Genomic DNA, 19,351 nt, shown 5'->3' with positions numbered 1-19,351 from the left:
TTATTTCTGCCTTCATTTCGTTATTTATCCAGTAGTCACTCAGGAGAAGGTTGTTCAGTTTCCATGTAGTTGTGTGGTTTTAAGTGAGTTTCTCAATCCTGAGTTCTAATTCGATTCCACTGTGGTCTGAGAGACTGTTTGTTATGATTTCTGTTCTTTTGCATTTGCTGAGGAATGTTTTAATTCCAATTATGTGATCAATTTTAGAATAAGTGCAATGAGGTGCTGAGAAGAATGTATATTCTGTTGATTTGGGGTGGAGAGCTCTATAGATGTCTATTAGGTCTGCTTGGTCCAGAGCTGAGTTCAAATCCTGAATAACTTTGTTAATTTTCTGTCTTGTCAATCTGTCTAATATTGACAGTGGGGTGATAAAGCCTCCCACTATTATTGTGTGGGAGTCTAAGTCACTTTGTAGGTCTCTAAGAACTTGCTTTATGAATCTGGGTGTTCCCGTATTGGGTGCATACATATTTACGATAGTTAGCTCTTCTTGTTGCATTGATACCTTTACCATTATGTAATGCCCTTCTTTGTCTCTTTTGATCTTTGTTGGTTTGAAGTCTGTTTTATCAGAAATTAGAATTGCAACTCCTGCTTTTTTTTGCTTTCCATTTGCTTGGTAAATATTCCTCCATCCCTTTATTTTGAACTTCTGTGTGTTTTTGCATGTGAGATAGGTCTCCTGAATACAGCACACCAATGGGTCTTGACTCTGCATCCAACTTGCCAGTCTGTGTTTTTTAATTGGGGCATTTAGCCCTTTTACATTTAAGGTTAATATTGTTATGTGTGAATTTGATCCTGTCATAATGATGCTAGCTGGTTATTTTGCCTGTTAGTTGATGCAGTCTCTTCATAGTGTCGACAGTCTTTACAATTTCCTATGTTTTTGCAGTGGCTGGTACTGGTTGTTCCTTTCCATGTTTAGTGCTTCCTTCAGGACCTCTTGTAAGGCAGCCCTGGTGGTGACAAAAATCTCTCAGCATTTGCATGTCTGTAGAGGATTTTATTTCTCCTTCGCTTATGTAGCTTAGTTTGGCTGGATATGAAATTCCTATACACCAACAACAGACAAATGGAGAGCCAAATCATGAGCAAACTCCCATTCACAATCGCTACAAAGAGAATAAAATACCTAGGAATACAACTAACAAGGGATGTGAAGGACCTCTTCAAGGAGAACTACAAACCAATGCTCAAGGAAATAAGAGAGGACACAAACAAATGGAAAAATATTCTATGCTTATGGATAGGAAGAATCAATATTGTGAAAATGGTCTTATTGCCCAAAGTAATTTATAGATTCAATGCTATCCCCATAAAGCAACCATTGAGTTTCTTCACAGAAGTGGAAAAAAAACTACTTTAAACTTCATGTGAAAATGAAAAACTGCCCACATAGCCAAGACAATCCTAAGCAAAAATAACAAAGCTGAAGGCATCATGCTACCTGACTTCAAATTATACTACAAGGCTACACTAACCAAAATAGCATGGTACTGGTACCAAAACAGAGATATAGACCAATGGAACAGAACAGAGGCCTCAGAAATAACACCACACATCTACAACCATCTGATCTTTGACAAACCTGACAAAAACAAGCAATGGGGAAAAGGTTCCCTATTTAATAAATGGTGTTTGGAAAACTGGCTAGCCATATGCAGAAAACTAAAACTGGACCCCTTCCTTACACATTATACAAAAATTAACTCAAGATGAATTAAAGACTTAAGAGTAAGACCTAAAACCATAAAAATCCTAGAAGAAAACATAGGCAGTACCATTCAGGACATAGGCATGGGCAAAAACTTATGTCTAAAACACCAAAAGCAATGGCAACAAAAGCCAAAATTGACAAATGGGATCTAATTAAACTAAAGAGCTTCTGCACAGCAAAAGAAATTACCATCATTGTGAACACGCAACCTACAGAATGGGAGAAAAATTTTGCAATCTATCCATCTGACAGAGGGCTAATATCCAGAATCTACAAAGAACTTAAATTTACAAGAAAAAAACAACCCCATCAAAAAGTGGCCAAAGGATATGAACAGACACTTCTCAAAAGAAGACATTTATGCAGCCAACAAACATATGAAAAAAAAGCTCATCCTCACTGGTCATTAGAGAAATGCAAATCAAAACCACAATGAGGTACCATCTCACACCAGTTATCATGGGCAATCATTAAAAAGTCAGGAAACAACAGATGCTGGAGAGGATGTGAAGAAATAGGAATGCTTTTACACTGTTGGTGGGAGTGTAAATCTGCTCAACCATTGTGGAAGACAGTGTGGCATTTCCTCAAGGATCTAGTACTAGAAATACCATTTGACCCAGCAATCCCATTACTGGGTATATACCCAAAGGATTATAAATCATTCTACTATAAAGACACATGCACACATATGTTTATTGCGGCACTATTCACAATAGCAAAGACTTGGAACCAACCCAAATGTCCATCAATTATAGACTGGATAAAGAAAATGTGGCACATATACACCATGGAATACTATGCAGCCATAAAAAATGATGAGTTCATGTCCTGTGCAGGTACATGGATGAAGCTGGAAACCATCATTCTCAGCAAACTCACACAAGAACAGAAAACCAAACAGCACATGTTCTCACTCATAAGTGGGAGTTGAACAATGAGAACGCATGGACACAGGGAGGGGATCATCACACACGGGGGCCTGTTGTGGGGTGGGGGACTAGGGGAGGGATAGCATTAGGAGAAATACCTAATGTAGGTGACAGGTTAATGGGTGCAGCAAACCACCATGGCATGTGTATACCTATGTAACAAAACTGCAATGTTCTGCACATGTATCCCAGAATTTAAAATATAATAAAAATAATACTGCATAGCTTCTCAATGCCTTGAAAACTAAGTCTAAAACTTCTCAATTAAGACTTTGCAAAATACTAGGTTGGTGCAAAAGTAACTGCGGTTTTTGGCATTATTTTTAATGACAAACACAGCAATTACTTTTGCACCAACCTAATAACACTAGTACCTAAACTTTCTTTCCATTCTGCAGCTCCTCTGTAGACAAGGCATCGATCACAGAACTGAAGACTGATGATGTCCCTGCCCAATCTCTGAAGAAATCAGGGGTTGAGAAAGAACACACATGCATAAGCATTCTTAGCCTTCTGCCTACGACTGGTGCTGTCTGCTACCATGTGCCCCTCAGCCAGACGTTGTAGAGTATCACTCTCCCTCTTTTCCTGAGCCAGACTGCAATTCCAACCACCTGATTTACCATCCCTAGTTTCCTTTCCCACAACTTTCACGGCATAGGTGATGCCCCATTTTCGTGACATCTTCCATCATAGACTTCTGTTCCTAAGACTGAACTGTCATTGTAGGTCCCAATCTGAGGCAGTGAAAAGAACAAGGGCTCTGAGATCAGATGCACTTGTGTTTCAGGTCAAGCCCTGCAACCTAAAGCCATTGGAATTTATAGCTTTCAACTTTCCCAGAATGGCAAGGTTGAACGACTGGTTAAGAATGAAATAAAAGAGCATAGGTAAACTACTTCACAATGTCAGCTAACAGAAGTTGATCAAGCAGTAGTCCCCAGCACTGCAGTCTTTCACTTTGCACCAAAACAGAATTGTAACATTAGTGACAGTGAACTCGTTGTCCCTGAACCAGTTTGCAGGCCCTGAGAGCCATCCACAATAGGTGGTCTGACTCCCTCCAGGTGGAGATGACCTGACTGATGAATGTGAATCCCTGGAATGCAGACCCCACCATGCTCAGCCTCACTGAGGACAGCTCTCTGCAGTCTGTAGGGCTGCTCACCAACCCAAATGGCTACTAGACATCATGGATCCCTGGGCAGTTGCCTGTGGGGCCTGCTCCAAGCTCCTGGGACACCTGCTGCCTGCCCTCCCCAGGTTTTGTGCACACGCAAACCTCCCATCTATTCAGTGTTGCAAATCCTGAAATACAATCTTTCCAGTCCTGTCTTCCAACTGCTTCCCTTACACTGGAAAATCGATTCTATTCACACTTGCACAAAACTCTTCCCAAAGTTAAGCCACTGTCTTCATTATCCTGATCCCTCCTTTCTTCTTCTGTAATACTCTACACTGCCCTCCTTCAGTGCTGATTTTAAATACCAGCTCTCTCATTCACACAATCATCCTTCAATAATTACCTATGGAGCCCTGCTACAGGCCAGGCACTGCGCCGGCCACTAGAGGCAGCACAATGAACAAAGCCTTCACAGCACTACAATCTCACTGGGGAGGGCCATCCACTGTCAGTCAGCTAAGGTCCTGTAAGGGGTGAAGAATGTCAAGAAAATAATTCAGGAGAGTAAGAGGGCATCAGGTTGGGGACAGCAGGGAGATTCAGAGGCAAAACCTGCATGGTGCCTTTGGGGATCCCCAAGACCACCTACACGTTTCGGTGATCCACTCAGAAGGCTCACAGCTGGACTCTTGGCTAGGGATTATGACAGCCAAAGGACACAGGGAGGAACAAAAGAAAGAGCACAGGTCCCGTCCTAGGAATGCCATGCCCCGAGCTCCCTGGGCTCTGCCTCCTGTGAGCGGCAAACCCAGCATCCTCTCATCTCCACCAATAGTTCTGCCCAGGAAAGCCCATTAGAAATTCAGTGCCCAAGGAAGACATTGGGGTGATCATGTAGGCCTTGTATGCTTGTAAAATTAGCCTCAAAGTCACACTGTTAAACTTCCATATCCTTGGATTAGGAAGGCCTATCACCCTCACCGGATATTATACATTCTGTATTTAAAGACTACTCTCAGAAACCAAAACAAACTTCCTTTTAAGTAAAGGAAAATTTTGCTCATAAAAATTATGTAGGGAAGGGCAAAAAGCATCTTACAATAACTGTGATTCAGCCCCGATATAACAAGATACCAAACACATAGTGTGAATACTTTTACCCAAATACAAATATATCTACAGCTATTTTTTTTCCGGCCTTTTCCATAGTAAACTCCCTACAGTTTCAATAATGAACTTTTACAGAGGCTCAGAATTCTGAATACTTGACCAAGGCGGCTGGGGGACTTCAGATGAGGCTTCAGTGTTTTGTTGACATGTGGTCCCATCTCTCAGGGAGGTAAAAGACATGTCACAAACAAGCCATGTTTCCAGCTGTGACATGTCTCAGCGCAGAAGGGCAGGAGGGAGACAGAGAGAAAAATTGTTTTCTTTATGATTTATCAAGAGTCATGGTAAAATGCTTTAGTCTTTATTCATGTTTAGCTTTTTTTTTTTTTTTACTGTTCAATGGCCTTAAAACCAGTTAAATACAATGAAAAATATGTTTTAAAGTTGTATTATTGAAATGTATTGAATAATGACTTATCAGGATTGGAAACAGGCCACATATGAGTGAATGTAATCTATTCCTCAGTCCTCCAGAGAGGGCCACAAATATGTGTGATATTTCTCTGTGCTATATTTTGCATTTGATTTTTGATTTAGCCAAAGTGTGTTTTTAAAAAAGTGTAAGAATGCAGCTGCTGAATTAAAATACATCTGTGTGTAAAAGGAGCTTCGCTTATTTTAGTCAAAAGAAGGACAGTGAACAAATTTCACTGGATAAGCTAAAATAAAAATCTTCAAGTAGCCATTTTATGTGCATGTGCAAAAAATCAAACTCAGGTTAATAAACACATATTGCATGTGTAATATATGTAGGTACAATGTAAGAAACAAATACTACAATGTCTGAAGAATACAGAAATTACAAAGTCAAAAAAAATGTAGCACACAAACCTAATTATCCACATGTCCAGAATAGAAGAACAACTCATTTTAATAAATCAAATATGAGACAACTTGACCCATGGACAAGCAGTCACAGGTTCCGGGATGGCGCTATGCTCGAGAGAGAATGCCTGCGTTTGCTGCTGGCACTGCTTCTCCAGTTATGACTCCTGCTACTAACACACAAGGGAGACATGGGCACAGGCGGACTCACCAAACGTGCACAGCACAGTACACAAACCAGATGTATGCAATGATGCCAAAAGTCATCTCAAAATTCCAAGCTGACCTAGTGCAACACATTTACACTTGGATAAACTATCACCTTGAAGATTTACTTTGTATACTTCAAAAGATCTGGTCATGAAATTTTTAGCTAATACATAAAGTGCCGAATTGAAATCCAGAATACAATAGCTATGAAGGGCCGCTAGAGTGCAGATAACCAACCCATTCTACCTCACTCAGGTTGAGATTGCTTTAGAACCTATCATTGGCTTTAAAATGGTCCACAAAAAAACACCTCATGGTCACACTTAAAATAGTTTGCATCCCACACTACAGGCTTCTCTGGAGGATTTAATACTTTGGAAGTAGCATCATAAGCCCTGCACATAACTTCTCAGCCTTGTGGTTAAGATCAATTATACACGCCCAAGACAGTCTTCACTGGATCTTGAACATATACAAGCCTTAATAAATGCAAAAATAGATACTCATTTATTGAAAAACAAATATCTTAAATAGTGTCATAGTAATTTTGAGACTAATTTATAACTAAATGCTATGAGGTAAAGAAATGCACAATTTTCCTTAATATTTTTTATTTTATAAACTAAAATAGTATCATAAAAGTTACCTATTTTTACATATAAATTATCACACATATTTTTCTAAATTGACTGAAGATTGCAGAAGTGATTTTCAGGGAAAAATGCCAACCACAAAGCAAACAAGGGGATGTGTGGGAGCTGTTTATAAAATGAACAACATAAACTTTATCTCAGCAAGAGGAACTATGATAGAAAGACATTGTAATTATGTTTTGTATTCAGACATCATTCAGACACAATAAGAAAAACAACAGGACTATAGAAGAGGCACCAACACTCACTCCCTGCAATTCATGGTCAGAAAGAATCAGAAATCCAAACTGCAAAAGAGTAAATGACCAATGAGATGTTTTACCTGTAACATGTTTCTCCTATAAAACCAGCATGATATCCCTACTTGAGCTGTGAGCCTCACTACCAACTAAACTGGCATTGTATCAGCTAAGATGGAAACTCTTAGAGTCTGCATTCAAGATATTTGCTGAAATTTCTGAACATATTAAACTTTCAGATCAATAAAAAATCAACCCTAATTATAATTAACATAAAATAACAACAAGATTTTATTCAAAGATAAATTTTTTGTGCACAAACATATGAGGGAATCAATGAGATCCTTAGCAATTTTAACAGACAAAAGGAAAAGAAATGCAATGGAATAAAGGTCTATAGAAAATAATTCCTTATTTATTATCTAGTACATAAATTATACCACCAATTTAATAAGTTCATGTCTTTATTGACGCAAATATTGATCAAAACTCAAAATCATTAATATATTTGCAAGTTAAAAGTGAATACTTTCAGCAATTTATACAGATTAGGTACTTATTAGAATAATACTTTGTGTATTGAATTTTATGGATATCAATTTAAATGACAAATGTCATATCCAATTGTATCACTATTCTATTAAAACACACAAATAAAACGCCAAATTCTAGGTTTAAATAAATCAAAGCCACCAAACAAAATGCCAATAATATTGTGGCATAACAAAGTAAGAAATGGGTCAAGATTAAGAGCCATAAACATTCAGAAAGGTTTTTAAATGCATTTATAGAAACAGAATTTTTCCTAAGGGAAGTACCCAATTCTTATGACAAAATGGACTACAAATAAAGAGTAGACAGGGCAAGTGAAAATCTGACAGAGGACGCTAACTGACCCAAAAGGTCTTTCTGATTTTTATTTCCACAAATAAAAGCTCTTGTTAATTAATGAAATCTTAATTTTGGAAAGAAAATTCCACTCAGCTCTTTCAGAAAATGAACCAGAGGGGTTGAATCAGAAGGTGAAATATCTAATTTTTCACCTCAAAGTCAACATCAGCCAAAGTAACCAGAAATATAATATGATAATTACCCATCAGCAAGGAATTCTCTTTAGTTGGATAAACCAAAGAGAAGTGGCAGAACACAAACAAATTCATGATTGTCCCTTCATACGAGAGTATCCTGTACATTCAGTCATGAATTTGGACACTCATGAGCATAATAATATTCATATCCCAAGTCCAAACGAATCGTGCTGGAGAAGTAAACGCAGTCCATACTTAGATACATTTTACATAGAGATTGGAACAACACAGAAAACCTCAAAACGTTATTGGGAGGCATGGGACACTATTGCTTTGTTTTGTTTGTGGAGCAAGAAAGCAACATAATCAAAGGCGTATACTTTCGCAGTAATAACCTATCAATACAATTAAGTAGAAAGGACCTACAATAGTAGCCATATCGTGATGTCATAGGGAGGTGCTGAAATAAGGAGTCAGGATTCAGTTTATGTCACACAGCCTCTGTACAGAGACTGATTTACTTCGAATCTTGCTCCCAATAACTGCTAATTTTTGAACTCAGGCAAGTTACTGAAGCTTTTCTGTAAAGAACAATAATAATGGAAAATCAATGGTATTCAACAATTTTTTGATTAGTATTGTGAGAAAAGAAAGTTTGTTACATTTTTAAACCTCAAAATACAATATATCCCATATTGCTAGTGTATGACATAAACAGAGGGATAAGCCCCCAAAATAAAACAAAACTCATTTTCTCCTGGAGATTAGGGGAAGAAATATGATAAAGACAGGGACAAAAGCAAACAAGACAAAAGTGCACACCACTGCCCCTGAGTGACCAGGACCAGGGCCGACACTGTGCTACTTGGGTAGCAGAGATGCGTCAGTGACATTTTCATAAGACACTGTTGGGAAATTCTTAAAACAAAGGAAATGTAGATAATAATATCCAACTTTTCAAAGTAAGATCATAGTCCAGCCTGGGCAACATAGTGAGAACCCAACTCTAAAAATAAATAAATAAAATAAAATCACATATTCTAGCATAGAAACATTTGTAAATATAGAATTAATAACCCTAATTTTTATAATCCATTTTCTTTGTTTGGTAGGTTATAATCCTACCAAAAATTCTACTGATAAAATATGATCCATTTATTTTATTTTGTTTAATTTATATTGTTATACTTCTGGTCATAAACTTTTATTTCTTTATAATAACAATTTTATAATGTAATTTTACATTGTAAAATTTTATAATGTAAACAAAATTTTGAAATAAAAGTCTGATTAATAAAGATTATATAATATGATATTTTGAATTTTAAAAATGTACTGTATATTTCATAATGTATCTCTACTTTAGCATAACAAATTCATTAAGGGTAAATGAAAAAAGCCAAGAAAGTACTATAGAGACCACTCATATTATTTTAATGCCTAACAAATACACAAGAATAAAACCAAATTTTTCATCAAATTATATGAGAAAAAATTTTACGCAGTAAGATTATACATTTTTTTAAATCTGTAAAAAGACAATCATTTTGGAAAAATTACTTTTTAATCCTCTCCCTTCCTGATAAAAAAATATGTTTATCTTCTTCTGTTTCTCATATACTATCCACAATGCAGTCAGGGCACTGGAAATTGACAGAGGATAAAATCATACTGATTGTTCTTCAACAAACTGAATTTCTTCCTTCTTTACTGGGAAACTTATATTCAAATAAATCCTTTAAAAATAGCTCAAGTAAACATACATTAGGATCATTTAAGACTAATACCAATCATTTATTGAGAACATAAAGAGTAGTGGCTGGGAGCGGTGACTAATGCCTGTAACTACAGCACTGTGGGAGGCTGAGGCAGGAGGATCATTAGAGGCCAGGAATTCAGGACCAACATAGTGAGACTTTGTGTCTACAAAAAGTAAAATCATTAGCTGGGTGTGGTGGTGCACGCCTGTAGTCCCAGCTACTTGGGAGGCTGAGAAGGAGGAACTTTGAGCCCAGGAGGTGGAGGTTACAGGGAGCTATCACTGCACCACTATACTCTGGCTTGGGCAACAGAGGGAGACCCTGTATCTTAAAAACAAAAACAAACTCACAAACAAAACCAATAAGGAGTATTATTTGGTCTCTGAACTTTTCTCAATGCTACTAAAACATGATTTTAATGTTATAACTAGAAATGAAATATGCCCTTATGCCATGAAGGGTAGGAACCACACATCCAACACAGAAAGCAGATAATGGGACATCCACTTACATCACTTTCCTTCTACTATTCCACTTACTAAGAATTTTTTCCATACAATTTTAAAGACTAATTAGTAAATTACAACTTCTCAGTTCCCTACAAAATTAGGAATTTCCACTTCCTGATAGGATATATAGATCCTGCAAACCAAAGCTGCTACTGCAACAACCAAAAAAGGGGGCATTAATTACAACCACCACGTCCTTCAAGATACTGAGTAAGCTGTGGGAGCTACCAGAACAAGACGAATTAGAGGAGGAGGCGGACAAAGGGGCCCTTGGAGCTAAGCTATGAACAGATGCCACCTCCTCCCCCATGTTACTTGGTGATTCCAGGTCAGCCACACATCTGGCTTCCCTAAGATGAAGGGCTCCAGTGGGGTAAGAGAAAATGAGCAGAAATACCGGCCCTCACCCTGGGCTGATGGGACAGAGTAGAAACTGGAGGAACCCCAGTGGCAAAGCAGGTCTTCCCACGACACTGGCTTTGATGAGGTGGTGGGTGTGGGGTGAAGGGGGTGACGCAGAGCGAAGTGTTCTGTGGCCTCACGGCATCATGAAGACAAATTCCCGTTTGAGCGAATGGACCTGACAGTGCCTCACCTCCATGGATCTGAAGCTGCGCAGAGTGTGAGCCTGAAGCACTCAGCCCAAGACCTCCCCAGAACACAAGGAGCCCTCATGCAGTCTCTGAGGGCTGAGGAGAGAGAAGCTATGCCCACCTGTCCAAGCTCAATCAAAAACACAGGATGTCCACAGGGACAAACCACACAGGGACCAAGTCTTACTAAAACTGCAAGCCAGCGCAGCACAATCTGCTGTGGACAAGGCAACCACTCCTCCCTTTTCTGCCTAACAGAGAAAAGGGCCATCCTTCTTGTCATATCACACCATCGGGGCCTGTAGACAGGCAAGGTGTAACCAACAATTCAGGGTAAAAATAAGTAAAAACCTTGAAAGAACTATGATGACCACATCAAAGAGATGAAATGAGGGACAAGAAATTGATGAAAAAATGGAGCACCGCAACAAAAACTGTAGTCTACATGAAAAAATCTGGTGAGCATTTTAGAACCAAATAACAAAATATCTTTCATCAAGAATTCATTGGATGGCTTAAAAGAAGGCATATCAAAGGACAGGATTACTGAATTCTAAGACAAAGTCATTAAAAAAAATCATAAAAACTAAAGAGTAAGGAGAAGGAACAACGAGAACAGATCATAGCATGAGAGACACGTGGGATCCACACAGAGGTCGAAAATGTCCCAGAAGAACAGGGTGAGGCAGAGGTAGTACAGAGAGAGGCAATGGGGGAAGTTTCAAAACTGCAGAAAAACAACAACCCCTACATTCAAGAAGCTAATCAAACCTCATAGAACGAACACACACACACACGCTCACACAACTTTCTCTCTCTCACTCTCACTTCACATTATAATCAATGTGTTGAAAACCAAAGACAAAATCATAAAAGCAGAAGTGGTGGAAAAAAGAGATGTTACCTTCAAAGGAATTATAGGTTATCTAGAAAAAAATAAACAATAATATGGGAAAACCAAATTCTGGCTGTTTTCTCTGGGTGTAGAGGGGGATTACATTGAAGGTAGTATATGTGAAACAGAGTAAAGAAGTCATTGTAAGCAATTTGCTAAGTAGTTTGTGTGCTATGTATTATAAAATGTGTATCTCATTTACATTTCACAACCTTCTCAAATAAATATTATTTCCTTTCACACACAAAAATTCTAAGCTACTGCCAGACATCTCACAAATCCTAAGTGGAAAAGCGAAGACACAAATCCAGAGCTTTCTGAAACAGCTCTCAGAGAGTCTGCCATGCTACTTCATGCAAAGACAATGGCAAAAGGATAAAGGCTTCCTAAAACAAAGTTAACAGAGTAATAGGCAAAGATTAAGTTCAATGAAATTTATTTATTTTTTTTTATTTTTATACTTAAGTTTTAGGGTACATGTGCACAATGTGCAGGTTAGTTACATATGTATACATGTGCCATGCTGGTGTGCTGCACCCATTAACTCGTCATTTAGCATTAGGTATATCTCCTAATGCTATCCCTCCCCCCTCCCCCTTCCCCTTACCCCACAACAGCCCTCAGAGTGTGATGTTCCCCTTCCTGTGTCCATGTGTTCTCATTGTTCAGTTACCACCTATGAGTGAGAATATGCGGTGTTTGGTTTTTTGCTCTTGCAATAGTTTACTGAGAATGATGATTTCCAATTTCATCCATGTCCCTACAAAGGACATGAACTCATCATTTTTTATGGCTGCATAGTATTCCATGGTGTATATGTGCCACATTTTCTTAATCCAGTCTATCATTGTTGGACATTTGGGTTGGTTCCAAGTCTTTGCTATTGTGAATAGTGCCGCAATAAACATACGTGTGCATGTGTCTTTATAGAAGCATGATTTAGAGTCCTTTGGGTATATACCCAGTAATGGGATGGCTGGGTCAAATGGTATTTCTAGTACTAGATACCTGAGGAATAGCCACACTGACTTCCACAATGGTTGAACTAGTTTACAGTCCCATCAACAGTGTAAAAGTGTTCCTATTTCTCCACATCCTCTCCAGCACCTTTGTTTCCTGACTTTTTAATGATTGCCATTCTAACTGGTGTGAGATGGTATCTCATTGTGGTTTTGATTTGCATTTCTCTGATGGCCAGTGATGGTGAGCATTTTTTCATGTGTTTTTTGGCTGCATAAATGTCTTCTTTTGAGAAGTGTCTGCTTATGTCCTTCGCCCACTTTTTGATGGGGTTGTTTGTTTTTTTCTTGTAAATTTGTTAGAGTTCATTGTAGATTCTGGATATTAGCCCTTTGTCAGATGAGTAGGTTGCGAAAATTTTCTCCCATTTTGTAGGTTGCCTGTTCACTCTGATGGTAGTTTCTTTTGCTGTACAGAAGCTCTTTAGTTTAATTAGATCCCATTTGTCAATTTTGGCTTTTGTTTTTGGTGTTTTGTTTTGTTTTTGGCCATTGCTTTTGGTGTTTTAGACATGAAGTCCTTGCCCATGCCTATGTCCTGAATGGCAATGCCTAGGTTTTCTTCTAGGGTTTTTATGGTTTTAGGTCTAACGTTTAAGTCTTTAATCCATCTTGAATTAATTTTTATATAAGGTGTAAGGAAGGGATCCAGTTTCAGCTTTCTACATATGGCTAGCCAGTTTTCCCAGCACCATTTATTAAATAGGGAATCCTTTCCCCATTGCTTATTTTTCTCAGGTTTGTCAAAGATCAGATAGTTGTAGATATGCGGCGATATTTCTGAAATTTAAAAACTAACTATGAGGCAACAAACAAAAGGACTCTCAAAACTAGAGAACAGAGAATACCAGAAGTTTAAAAAGTTAAAATGAAAACCACTAGGAATAAATAAAAGTGTTATCATGCCTGATCTGACCAATTACTTGAGTGGAAACAGAGTATTTTATCAAATCACATTATTTATTCTTTTCTCTAACAGTTTAAGACCAAGAACAGGATATGACTGTATAAGGCCACTCAGCTTTAAAATGCACATGAATTTCACAGCAGAATCCTACATGATCATTCAGTACATCAAGTGGTGAGATTACTGATTTAAAAAAAAAAAAAGCAAAGGTGCATCACCTTTGACGCTTAAATCTAAAACTTTTGGCACTCAGATTTAAAATATCCACACAAACTGCCTTCCTTAACAACTTGCCTTCTCCAGTCCACCGCAGCATCCACTTCATCTTCTTGACCACTAAATGAGCTCCAAAAGGTTGGTCCTCATCTCTCTCTCCCTTTCCCACTAGTTTCAGTGCTTCTGATCCCAGTGGAGGGCTCTACCTTCACACCTGGCCTCTACCTTCACTTCTACAATTACACATACAACTTCCAGTTCAGCATCGCCACTTGAATGTCTGAAACTACTTCAAACCTATCTATTGATTAGCAAAGACTGCTCAAAATGAGTTCCTCTCACAGTCTTTTGCATCTCAGTTAAAGGCACCATCACATCCACATAATTCCTCTTTCATTTACATCTCACATACAATCCATCCTTCAGCAAGTGCCATCAGCTCTGCCTTCAACATTTATCACCAATCTGACCACTCCCATTACTGTGGTGCTAACTACAGTCATCTCTCACTTGAACTAATTCCTTTCACTCCTTCTCCATGCTACGACCTTCCAGCTTAGACCTCCATACACTCTAATGGTACATGGAGACTTTGTATGTATGTGCAAAGGGTACATAAGCAAGAACTGTTTAAAATTACCAATTCCTGATCTAGACTCCATTAATAATCTTTTGTATTATCGATAAGCCTAAGAAAGCTCTTGAAGTATAACCATACGCCAGTTCTTCTTAACCACCTATTTAACTCACAACTGCCTTTTCCTCACTTAACAGAAGAAAGGCATTCTTCTTGCCCATCATCTACCTTGCTCCAAAGTGGAAAAAACCACTGGGACACCAAAGAAACCATCATTATAAGAAAAACCTTCTTAAAATCAAGGAGCCATAAACTGAAACCTAGAGATTTCACTATGCACTTTCCTAGTTTGTACATATTTCTATAAAGAGAAAGCATGACATTAGGCATAGGGCACTTGGCCCAAATTCAGATGTTCTAAATTCAGGTATACTGCAAATGGGATGCTGAGAGTGACAATAACTTTTGCTTAACAATTTTTTGCCTTGTGAATCCCGAACAATTATCAACCAAAGATATCACTTCTAAATGAGAGCAGTGTAAAAGAAGAGGAGGAAAGAAATATTAAAGAGAGCAGAATTTCATTTCACTTTTGCATAAAATTGCATGGCGAAGATGCATGCCGGATCTAAGAGTGGGATTACCTGACGTTTTGCTGTTTTTTTTCGTAAAAGAATCCTGGGAAATAACTTGTTATAAATCATACCCTATCTGCAGTTTTACTATGCGAGGTAAGAAAAAGAGCACTCTTATTTACCCACGGTTCGGTCTGTGTTAGCTCCACATTGTTTATGATTTGGAGGAGGAGGAGGTGAAAAATTCTACATTTATTCCCCACAGACCAATATTACATCAGTAAAAGAAACATGTCTCTGATATAATTTAATATTTTTATTTTCTTCAAAGAGGAACATTACCATTAGCTTTTTTATTGGGTACTATCCTTTGACTAAATGCCCATGTCTATCAAAGTGATGACACTCAACAAGCACAAGCACTTCTCTATTTATTCATTCTTACCATGTACTCATTAGAATTAGATTAACTTTAAAAAAAATGTAATTGATCCTATCATAACAACATATACAATAGGTGAGCATATGTACTGTTTAAGCAATATAGCTAATAATCATTAGAACTCTATTTGTAAGCCCCACAATTATAGTATCTCAGTAACATTTACATTTACCATTATTTTCCATTAGACTTTCCCTTATTCTAGCAATAAATTTCATCCATAGACACAAAAATTGAAATTTAAAAATTTTAAAGTCTCAGTAAGTCATTCAATTCCAATACCATTATACATTTTATGCTTAATAATTATCAAACTCTTTATAGACTTTGTTGTTTCAATCGTTTTAATAGTAATTACAATAATCCTTTCTACACATTTTTAACACTTAGAGCTTTATGAGCAAAGATACTAAAATATAAAAAATGCTAAGTGCTGGCCGGGCGTGGTGGCTCACACCTATAATCCCAGCACTTTGGGAGGCCAAGGCCGGTGGATCACCTGAGGTCAGGAGTTCGAGACCAGCCTGATCAACATGGAGAAACCCCTGTCTCTACTAAAAATACAAAATTAGCCAAGCGTGGTGGCACATGTATGTAATCCCAGCTACTCGGGAGACTGAGGTAGGAGAATCATCTGAACCTCGGAGGCGGAAGTTGCGGTGTGCCGAGATCGCGCCATCGAACTCCAGCCTGAGCAACAAGAGTGAAACTCTGTCTCAAAAAAAAAAAAATGTGAGGTGCTGTGGCATACTCCTGTAATCCCAGCTCTTTGAGAAGCTGAGGTGGGGGATCGCTTGAGCCCAGGAGATCAAGACCAGCCTAGGCTAAACATAGTAAGACCTCATCTTTTATTTTTTAAAAATAAAACAATTAAAAAAACCTTACATCAATGTATGTGTCCGTGAGTATGTACTGATACCCAGAAATGATAAGATGATCATTAAAATATGTCCACATACAAATACAATAAAATCTGTGGGGGAAATAAGGGATGTGAGTTCAAGAAGAAAAACAAATTTTCTGACAGTTAAAGAACTTATTCATGTACTTTTAAATGAATGGACGGTGGGAATCAAATCATCATGGTGTTAACATTCTATTGGATACATTTTAAAGTGGTACAAATATTACTTTACTATGTCAATTTTTATTCTACACTTGAAATTATATCCTGTCCAACTTCTGTACTTAGGATGAAAATACTCAGTTGCCAACAACTGGGGCAGGGGATACAGAAGTTTGAAATACTATCATAGGGGAACTTGAGCACCATACTATAGCATAACTAGTGTGACTGTTCAAAGTCTTGCTTGCCCTGTGAAAACCTTCCCATGAATATCCATGCACAACGAAGACTACCTCCATGACTCTCGGGACCCTGCTCATGTCTCTTTACAAGCTGGCCTGTATGTGTGTTACAGCCACAGGACCCTCCTTCAGCACATGCAGCCCAACACTTTCAGTTCCTAATTCAGTTTCACTGTACTTTCTGTTCCCTCCACCTAGAATACTCTTTAATGCTGCCTTTCTCATCATTCACGTTCCTACTCAGCCTCAGAATACAGGGACTCTCTTTGCATTACTTCTTGCAAATAATGCAGGCTAATTTGCCCGAAAAGCCTTAAAAAGGCTTCAGAGGTGCCTACTGTAAACAATCTATCTACAATCACCTGTTGCTTCCCGTTATTATCTCCATGGCATCTACTGCTTTCTGAAATTATTTATGTGCTTCTTCACTTACTTTCCAGTTCTGCCATAACAATGTAAGCTCTATGGGTAAGAAGTGTTTATTTTGCTCACCACTCCATTCTTAGAACCTAAAACCATGCCATGCCTGAGAAAATTTTTGCTAAATTAATCATAGGTGTGAGGTAAAGGTGACTCATAGTCCTAGAATAGCTTCTACATGTCAAGCACTCTGCTGGGACACTTACTCAGTCTCACTCTATTTACTCCTTATGAGAATTTTCTAAAGGGAGTATTATTCCTTATATTTTTAGTTGAATAAACGGAGTTTCAGAGGTTAAGTAACTCGGACAAATTGCATCAGTTAATAAAATGGAGGTGACAGGATTTAAACTCAGGTACTGGATCTTAATCATCCTCTGCTAGAGCTTTATCCACTATGACATGTTGTCATTTTATTTCCCTTACAGTATTTTCATTTATCATCTTGTTTGATCCTCACAACAGTCCACATCTTATCATATCTGCTTTCCAGAAAATGAAACTAAGGCTCTGAGAGTCAAAAAGCTATGTCCATGGAAATAAAGCTACTTAGGGACCAACTGGAACTCAGGTCCTCCACCCCTGGCTCTCGCCTTCCTCCTACAACCCCCCATTGGCATAGGCTAAAGCAGAGATTGGTGAATTACAACCAGGTTGACAGGTGAATCAACTTCCCAACATATCACACTGTGCCACTGTCAAAAGCTTGAGAGTTTACAACTGCCACAGACTTTCTGAGATAAGATAAAGACAATCAACATTAGCCATACTAAGGAAAACCTAAGTAATCCTAAGTAAGGGGCGCGGCCTAGCCAAGGTGTGGGCCTGCAGTCACAGCAGGCCCTGCGCCATCCAGCCACTGCTCCAGATTTGGCAGGAAACCTAAGTGCACACGTGATGGCTTGGAGTTCTACAAAGTATAATCTTACTCGTTTAGTATTATTTTAAGATATTTTCCCAAGTTCTAGTGTATAAGGATAAATCATTTAAAAACTCAAGAAAATTTTTAACAAAAAGAGTTACATCACTAGGAAAAAAATGTATTGGAAATAGTAAAGTCTGTAGAATATACATCCATAAGCTCTTCCATTAAACAAAGAATGAAAGAGGACGAGTCGAGAAGTCAAGTAGGAGTATCTCAATTTTCTCACACAACGTAACATCTTCATTTGCTTGCACAATGCTCAAATCTGTCTTAAAACAATGAACAATGAATGACTTCAAAACATTATAATCAGTTCCAGTTAAAATTGCAGATATAATTTATACTGACTCTTGTCTCTACCTATACCAGGTGGAGACCCTTTAACAGATGGTGTTCATTCCCACCTAACAATGATCAAACAGCAACAGGAAAACTTTGGTTCAGTTTAACAGAAGTCAGGTCTCTACTCCAAAGTATCATAAATGTATTGATAACATTCTTATATTTTTACTCTTCCCATTATAAAAATAAAAAGTTGTGGGGAAAACAAAAGATAATTATGGAATCAAAAAATCAGATAATGCTAGATTTAACAGTATGCTTATGTTGCAGTCTGCTACTAGACAATTTGCATTGAAAATGTAAGTAGGTATTTATCTTTATCACTACAACTATAAATAGAAAAGTGTAAATCAGACTATTGTGACAGTTCAACTGGAGAATTTAGGAGCAGAAAGCAGAAAGATTTTCCGCAATATATGAGAAATTCAATTATTTACTTAGGCTTAAATCCAAAATGTAATCAAATCTTAAAAATGCAATCAAAGATTTTTAAATAGCAGAAGAGTAAGATGAAAGACGATTATTTTCATTATAGAAGTTCTGAAATGAAAGCCCAAGTAAAAAGAAAAAGGAAACACCTTCATCAAGGTGTGTGACTATGTTCTAAAATAGTCTTTCATCATACAAAAATGCACCTCCTATAACACAGCAGAACTTCAACATGGGGGGAAAAAAGAGGTCATTTTTTAAAGTAAACTGTTGTTATAAGGTAACTTTTAATTTGTGCACATAATGTCAATTGCTATGGTGAATGCACGTCGGGTCACTGAAACAACGGTAGCTGAATTCAGATGTGACCTGGCAGCCCAGGTGTTCAGGAAAAGTGCTGTTAACAGTGAGGATTGATGATCTAATCAAACTGTCACAGCCAGATCCTCGGCAGGGTGGTTGGAAGGAGGTGGAGGAGGATAATATTCAGAAAGCAAGCACATGCTTAGTGTTACTTTAAATTGATGCTGA

The 19,351-nt window shown here is 37.9% G+C and overlaps 1 protein-coding gene across 5 annotated transcripts in view, besides 3 other annotated features; it reads right to left on the bottom strand.

Moving 5' to 3' along the window:
• Positions 1–19,351, bottom strand: part of ZNF407 (zinc finger protein 407) — a 467,802-nt gene that overhangs the window by 241,527 nt on the left and 206,924 nt on the right. Inside the window, exon 6 of one of the 5 annotated variants that reach the window (XM_011526069.4) lies at positions 15,251–18,314. The exons of the other annotated variants lie outside the window; for them this stretch is intronic. Within the exon in view, the coding sequence (XP_011524371.1) occupies positions 18,214–18,314 (101 nt within the window). The 3' untranslated portion in view covers positions 15,251–18,213. Of the gene's footprint in view, positions 1–15,250; positions 18,315–19,351 lie in introns of those variants that run through there. 5 annotated transcript variants of the gene reach the window in all.
• Positions 4,168–4,990: an enhancer, noted in NCBI's record as "H3K27ac-H3K4me1 hESC enhancer chr18:72531111-72531933 (GRCh37/hg19 assembly coordinates)". NCBI's record gives its function as "activates a minimal SCP1, AML or CMV promoter by ChIP-STARR-seq in naive H9 embryonic stem cells {active_cell/tissue: H9 hESC(naive)}" and the evidence as "EXISTENCE:reporter gene assay evidence [ECO:0000049][PMID:30033119]".
• Positions 16,967–17,016: an enhancer, noted in NCBI's record as "active region_13504". NCBI's record gives its function as "activates an Ori minimal core promoter by ATAC-STARR-seq in GM12878 lymphoblastoid cells {active_cell/tissue: GM12878}" and the evidence as "EXISTENCE:reporter gene assay evidence [ECO:0000049][PMID:35858748]".
• Positions 17,001–18,200: an enhancer, noted in NCBI's record as "BRD4-independent group 4 enhancer chr18:72517901-72519100 (GRCh37/hg19 assembly coordinates)". NCBI's record gives its function as "activates an origin of replication core promoter dependent on BRD2, P300/CBP, MED14 and CDK7 cofactors, and independent of BRD4, by STARR-seq in HCT116 cells {active_cell/tissue: HCT116}" and the evidence as "EXISTENCE:reporter gene assay evidence [ECO:0000049][PMID:35650434]".

This window comes from Homo sapiens, chromosome 18 (genome assembly GCF_000001405.40).
Source record: "Homo sapiens chromosome 18, GRCh38.p14 Primary Assembly".
NCBI classification, from domain to species: Eukaryota; Metazoa; Chordata; class Mammalia; order Primates; family Hominidae; genus Homo; species Homo sapiens.
Note: the sequence above shows the minus strand (reverse complement) of the source record. Positions and strands in the feature narration are given on the sequence as shown.